This window comes from Homo sapiens, chromosome 15 (genome assembly GCF_000001405.40).
Source record: "Homo sapiens chromosome 15, GRCh38.p14 Primary Assembly".
Lineage (NCBI taxonomy): Eukaryota > Metazoa > Chordata > Mammalia > Primates > Hominidae > Homo > Homo sapiens.
In genome coordinates, this window is record NC_000015.10 from 67,937,292 (window position 1) to 67,945,035 (window position 7,744).

Here is a 7,744-nt window from a genome sequence, read left to right on the forward strand (position 1 = left end):
AAGTGTTCCCAGGATCAACACCCTGAGGGGGAGTGGAGAAGGCAGGACTGGGCAGAGGGAGAGGCTGGGCTGTGATGCTATCACTATACCTCTGGAGTGCTCTGCAGAGGTGTCCCCTGTTGGCAGCAGGGGGCGGAGCCTTGATATTCCTGCACAGAGGCAGTCCTTGGGCTGCCCCAGGAAGAGGACATCACCTTGAGAGAGAAGCTCCTCTTCAGCCAAGGGCAGTTCCCCTGGGAGACTCTGCCTACCACTGTCAGCCTTTGATACTTCCGGCTGCTGGGGGGAATGACTGCTTCAGGCCTGGTAGAGGGGATCTGGGGTGATGTACCCCAGCATCCACTATCCCTCTTTAGGGTCCTTCAGCTAGTGGGCAACACAAAAGTAGGTCCTCTGACTCTAAAACTAACATAGTCCTGCTTTTCCAGCTCCATAATAGGTCCACTATCTCCGAGTGAACAACCAAGACTATGGGATCATTGATTGGAAAAGAACTGTAATCCACTCAAACTTGATCAAATTAGGAGAGAGTGTTGGTAATAGGAATCTTAGCTGAGGAGAGGGAAAAGATTTCATTCATTCAAAAATATGTATTGAGTGATTACCATACACCAAGCTCCATTCTCAGTGTTGGGGAGACAACAAGAATAATCAAAGCTCCTGCTCATGCAGAACCCTTTCTAATGGAGAAGGTGTCGGGGAAGGCCCAGTCCTCCTGGAGACCAGGAACAACCTGCCTCCTTAAGAGATGGAGGAGCCAAATCTGTGTCTCATCTTTTCGTAAATGTCTGTAGGAGAATAATACTGAGTTAATTTCTCATCTGTTTATCTGCCATATACAAGTAAATGCATAGGGAAAGGTTGGTAACAGTTGTTACCTCTGGGGTGGGAGTAAAATGGATGGAACACGGGAGTAAAGGAGAGCTTGACTTTTCTCTCTCTCTTTGCTGCCCCTCCTTTCTTTTCGCTAGTTCCTCATTTTGCTAGTGTACCCAGGTTCTAACTACTGCGTATAAAGGCAGTGTCAGAGACGGCCCCTGCTTTCTTCCCAGCTCTAGTTTCAGGCCTGAAACGGCAGCTGGAATTTCCCTGCCCTGTCTCCTCTTTTCTTCCTCTCTAGAGACTCCTCTTGCTGTCAGCTGAGAAGGGGGAAGCAGTCACCTGGAGATTCTGTAAAATAGGCCACACATTTGGGAGATTTGGGAAAATAGAAGAGAGTCATTTTGCAGGCTTTAGTCCTTTATATATTTCTGCATTACTTGAATGTTTCATAGCAAGTGTGATTTGTGCATTATACATTTAGCTGTTGCTGTTGTGGAGGTTTTTAGTTTTTTGGGGTTTTTTTTTTTTTTGAGACAGAGTCTCACTCTGTCACCCAGGCTGGAGTGTAGTGGCATGATCTCGGCTCACTGCAACCGCTGCCCCCTGGGTTCAAGCGATTTGCCTGCCTCAGCCTCCTGAGTAGTGGGAGGGATTACAGTGTGCACCACCACGGCTGGGTAACTTTTGTATTTTTAGTAGAGGGGTTTCACCATGTTGGCCAGGCTGGTCTCAAACTCCTGACCTCAGGTGATCCACGCGCCTCAGCCTCCCAAAGTGCTGGGATTACAGGCATGAGCCACCATGCCCAGCCAGTTGTAGAGGTTTTGTCTGTTTGCTTCTGCGTTTTGACGTTGCAGATGGAAGACTCTGGCTGACAAACCAGGCCTGGCTCGAGACTTTCTTTTTTTTTATTTATGTATTTTTTAATTATACTTTAAGTTCTAGGGTACATGTGCACAACGTGCAGGTTTGTTACATATGTATACATGTGCCATGTTGGTGTGCTGCACCCATTAACTCGTCATTTACATTAGGTATATCTCCTTACGCTATCCCTCCCCTTTCCCCCCACCCCACGACAGGCCCCGGGGTGTGATGTTCCCTACCCCGTATCCAAGTGTTCTCATTGTTCAATTCCCACCTATGAGTGAGAACATGGAGTGTTTGGTTTTCTGTCCTTGTGATAGTTTGCTGAGAATGATGGTTTCCAGCTTCATCCATGTCCCTACAAAGGACATGAACTCATCCTTTTTTATGGCTGTATAGTATTCCATGGTGTATATGTGTTACTTTTTCTTAATCCAGTCTATCATTGCTGGACATTTGGGTTGGTTCCAAGTCTTTGCTATTGTGAATAGTGCCGCAATAAACATACGTGTACATGTGTCTTTATAACAGCATGATTTATAATCCTTTGGGTATGTACCCAGTAATGGGATGGCTGGGTCAAATGGTATTTCTAGTTCTAGATCCTTGAGGAATCGCCACACTGTCTTCCACAATGGTTGAACTAGTTTACAGTCCCACCAACAGTGTAAAAGTGTTCCTATTTCTCCACATCCTCTCCAGCACCTGTTGTTTCCTGACTTTAATGATCACCATTCTAACTGGTATGAGACAGTATCTCATTGTGGTTTTGATTTGCATTTCTCTGATGGCCAATGATGATGAACATTTTTTCATGTGTCTGTTGGCTGTATAAATGTCTTCTTTTGAGAAGTGTCTGTTCATATCCTTCGCCCACTTTTTGATGGGGTTGTTTGATTTTTTTTCTTGTAAATTTGTTGAAGTTCTTTGTAGATTCTGGATATTAGCCCTTTGTCAGATGGGTAGATTGTAAAAATCTTCTCCCATTCTGTAGGTTGCCTGTTCACTGTGATGGTAGTTTCTTTTGCTGTACAGAAGCCCTTTAGTTTAATTAGATCCCATTTGTCAGTTTTGGCTTTCGGGACTTTCTATGGTAAAGACCTCTAGGCCTAGCACCTGCTTGTGGCGAAATTGTGAAAGTGGTCAGGCTACCTCTGGGAACCTTTTGTGGCCATACCCCCTCCTGTTCTCCTGAATGGTTCTAATTCTGATTGTGGGTTATCCCGCAGAGGTGAGGACTAAGCTCTGATTTTTTGATCTTGCCCAAATTCTTATCTAAGGGGTCTGGGGAATCATGCCCTACAAACCATACATTCTTATCAGATGAGTTTTATTTAACCCTGTATATCATGACTTACTTTCCAATCTGACTCTCATATAACAAGAAAGAAAATCAAAATATTTAACCCTAAATATGTTTCCTAGCCATTTCTTGAAATTGCCCTGCAAAGTCTCTTGTGGGAAAAATCCACATTCTATAAAGAATCTCTTTTCCCCTTTGTTTTCCTTCCTTCCTTTCCAGATCCAGGAGATAATCAGCTAGAACCAGACACCCTTTTAGGTCTGATAAGAAACATTTTACAACTTGCTCTCTCTGAAGTCTGCTATCTGAGAGCTTCCTCTATACAATAAAACTTGGTTTCCGCAATCCTTTATTTTAACCTGAACATTTCCTTTCTATTGATCCCAGATCTTCAGATAAACTCAACCAGTTGTCAACCAGAAAATGTTTATATTTACCTATAGCCTGGAAGCCCCCACCTTGACTTGTCCCTCCTTTCTGAACCAAACCAATGTATTTCTTAAATGTATTTGATTGATGTTTCATATCTCCCTAAAATATATAAAACCAAGCTCTACCCTGACCACCTTGGGCACATGTTCTCAGGACCTCTTGAGGGTTGTGTGACGGGCCATGGTCACACATATTTGGCTCAGAATAAATCTCTAAAAATGCTTTACAGAGTTTGACTCTTTTTGTCAACAGAGGACAAGTGTGTCTCCAGGTAGGCTTTCTTCCCTTGGGCTTTTGAACTTCACAGTGGACCTTCTTGCTTGGGGTGAGAGGCCTGTGTCCTGAGGAAGGAACATGCAGCAGCAGCTGGTGACGCTGGTGATTTGGTGATGGCACATTCTCCCTAGAGATGACCCGTGAGTCCCCTGGGGAGAGCGAGGCTGGCTTTGGAGAAAAGTCATGGGATCCATAGTGGATAGGCATGAACTGCTCTTGCTCAGCACTCAATGGCCACTTTTCTGGTGACAGCACTACAATTTTGCTTTAGTGATTGACCTGTCTTGCATTTAATACAGCCTTGGTAAGATTGCCATTCAAGGGACCCCACTACCCTGGGCCAGGAAATGGGCCATGTGACCTAAATTAGGTCAATCAGATGCTGTCTTCTAGGAACTTGAATTTTGAGGGACTGATACAAAAACAGAAAATGTTTGGGGCCAATTCATCCTAATTCTGGCAGTCCAAGGCAACAGACCACTGGTTGCTGCTTTCCAGATTCCTCAAACTGCCCTCCTGCCTGTCCTTCTGGAGCATGGAGCTTCAGCTTTTCCTTCATCTTTCTGTTGCCTCACTCTTCCAATAAAGAACTTTCAAAGTAAGTTACCCAGAATCGATTTCTGTTGCTTACTACCTAAGACCCCTGACTAATACAGCATCCATACCATCTAGGCCTTTGAAGACCTATCACCTCCCCAAAAAGCTCAGGCTTTTCAGGTGTGCTGTGTATGTTTCATGGTGTTTTATGTATGCTGTGGATATGGAGTGGTCAGGGGATGAGCAGGGCAGGTTGGGTGTTAGGGACTAAGAGAGATGTCAGTGTCAGCCAGGTTCATATCCCACATTCCTGAGCCATGCTGTCAGACTGGGAGGTGCAACACCCACGGGAGGGGTCCAGGGCTGAGTATAGGCAGAGCATGAAACCACAGGCTGAACACACTACGTTTTCTGGAGGTGCCAATTTGAAGATTTTATGGCAGGTGGGGAGACACAGGTTTTTTTTTTTTAATTTAAAATTGAATATGTATATATTTTGGCATAGAATACAAGAATCTGTGGGAATTTTTATGAGAACACAAGCATGCACTAAGAAATTTCCATCTGGCAGAAAGTCAATTCCATATACGTATCTAGACCTCTTGGCAGTACACATTTGCTCTGCAACTATAAAGGGTTCTTTGGTGGAAATTTAGAGAAACACAGACCTATGGTATTGAGAGCTTCAACTAAACCACAGACTGTTCTAATGTAGGTGCCTCCTCTGTCTGCCCTCAGATTCCTTTTAGGGTTGGACTAGAAGTGGGCCTCTCAGTCCTGTTAGCTTTGATATCTTTTCACAGACCCTAGTTACTGCTACTCTCATGTACAACCTTGTTAAAAATCATTCACCAAGGAAAGACATCCCCTATCTCTGTGGGTAAATGCAAGAAACTTAAAATCAGGGAAGTGGTTCTCATGATGGAGGAGAAGGAAGTCAGTAAAGAAAACTTGATCTCGCCAGGCGCGGTGGCTCACGCCTGTAATCCCAGCACTTTGGGAGGCCGAGGCAGGTGGATCACGAGGTCAGGAGATCGAGACCATCCTGGCTAACACGGTGAAGCCCTGTCTCTACTAAAAATACAAAAAATGAGATGGATGTATTGGCGGGCGCCTTGTAGTCCCAGCTACTCGGGAGGCTGAGGCAGGAGAATGGCGTGAACCTGGGAGGCAGAGCTTGCAGTGAGCTGAGATTGTGCCACTGCACTCCAGCCTGGGCGACAGAGCGAGACTCCATCTCAAAAAAAAAAAAAAAAAAGAAAAGAAAAGATAAAAGAAAACCTGATCTCTCTTTTGGCATGTGTGAGATTCCAAATATATGGATTTCTATTATGTGCTAGGTATTTGTAATGTTTCATCATTATAACCCCAAGCCAAAGATGGTATTATAATATCATGGTATGGATGATGATTGTTATGAGCTGAACACTTTTCATCTCCCCAAATTTTATGTGTAGAAATCTTAACCCCCAATGTGATGATATTAGGAAGTGGGGACTTTGGGAGATGATTAGGTCATGAGGGTAAAGCCCTCATGAATGGGATTAGTTCCCTTATAAAAGGGATCCCCAAAGAGCTCTCTGGATCTCTTTCTGCCACGTATGGATATAAGAGGTTGGCAGTCTGCAACCCTGAAGAGAGCCCTCACCAGAACCCAACAATGCTGGTACCCTGATTTCAGACTTCTGTTCTCCAGAACTGTGAGAAATAAATCTCTGTTGTTGATAAGCCACGCAGCTTATTGTGCTTTGTGATAGCAGCCTGAATTGACTAACACAACGATCCCAGGGCCCAGTGAGGTTGAATAACTCACCCAAAGTCACACAGGTATTTAGGCCACTTATTGTAGACATCATTCTTGTTCCAGGTCCCCTTTTGAGATTGCTCTCCTGACCTGAATACAGAATAAATCAGATCCACAAGACTCTAGTCCGAATAGGTTTATTGTCTGTGTCCCTTGTCCTAATGGGGAGGCCTCTGCTCACCAAGAGTGTCCTGACCACCTGGGGCTAGGGGTGCTGGAGAGGAGCACAGAGAGGAGGAAGGGCCTGAAGATGATTTCCCCAACAACTCTGTACTGTGGGGGTTAAGAGTGTGGGCTCTGAGGGTAAACAGAGCTGGATTTGAAGCCCACTCTCCTCCTACTCATGGTATAGATAAGAGGGAAGGAGGGGGTAGAGTGGGAGGGAAACCACCAACCTCAGCAAGCCACAGACTCCAGGAGGCCACCACTGGGTCCCGAACCATGCTCCTATTGTCTTTACAAAGGGGAATGGCAGCTGCTCCACCTCCCACAACATCCAATCAGGCATCCTGCAGACGGTGGCAAATCACAGAGAAGCAATGGCAAAGGGGCTGTGGATGGGCCTGACTGTCTGGACATGGCCAAATCTGCTGCCCAGCCACTTGCTCTTGTGACCTCATCCTGACCTGAAGCGTCTGCCTACAGGTGCTCCTGCCTCTCCCCTGGCCCAGCAAGGACCGCAGGATGCCCTTCCTTAACTCCTGGGTAGGAGCCCACAGTGGTGACTGATCCACGTGAGGTCCCTTAGGTGGTAAAAGCGTCTCCACCCCCAGCCTTCCCGGGACGTCCTGTGCAGCAGGAGTTGATAACGCTGTGTACAGGCTGATGGGGGTAGACACGCTCTTGTTGCCAGGCCCTGGACACTCTGAACCCCAGCCTGGGCTCCTGGCCTTAATGGGGCAGGGAGGGGACCATCGGGGCACAGAGCCAGGGATCCTGTTACTCTCTACATAGAGGTGCCAAGTAGGCTACTTTATTGCCAAGTTTTCTTTTTTAAAAAAACTTTCTTTCCATTCTATGACTCTTTAAGGGAAGAAATTCCATTGTGCACTGTAACACTGAGGACTTTTACACCAGAGAGTCTCACGGGGAATATTCAGGCCTTGGAGAAACCACTAGAGTTTCTGTTGCTGGAGGACAGGGGCCCTGTCTTAGATTCTCTTGCTCAGGCCTGGAAAGATACTTAGGGATGGTCTAGTTCAGTCTGAGTCAGTGTGAGCCTGGCCTCATCCCAGACAGACAACCATCTCCCTACAAACAGCACCAGGATGCCTTGTTGAGTTCATGGTCCCGCCTGCTCCAAGGCACTGCTGGATGATCAAAATAAAGGTCCTTCCTCTTACGTGCTGTGAGTCTTTAAGGGGGTGAAGAAGTCAGGCACTGAGTGGGAAGTACACCTGGAGGCGCAGTGTCCACTGGGCTGCATGTCAAAGTCTGTCATGTGTCTCCTGGGTGACGCTTAACAAATTGCTTAGCCTCTCTGGGCCTCTGATGGCTCATCTAGTGTTAATAAGAAAATAAGCCAGGCGTGGTGGCTCACACCTGTAATCCCAGCAATTTGGGAGGCTGAGGCAGAATGATTGCTTAAAGCCAGCAGTTCAAGACCAGCCTGGGCAACATAGGGAGACCCCATTTCTTTTTTTTTTTTTTTTGGGAGACCCCATTTCTACAAAACTTTTTTAAAAAAATTAGCCAGATGTAGG

The 7,744-nt window shown here is 46.0% G+C and overlaps 1 annotated feature.

The window, feature by feature from the left end:
• Positions 1–170: an enhancer, noted in NCBI's record as "experimental_40776 CRE fragment used in MPRA reporter constructs". NCBI's record gives its function as "activates a minimal promoter by MPRAs in K562 erythroleukemia cells, with activity observed for both the introgressed and non-introgressed 15:68229715 variant alleles {active_cell/tissue: K562}" and the evidence as "EXISTENCE:reporter gene assay evidence [ECO:0000049][PMID:34662402]".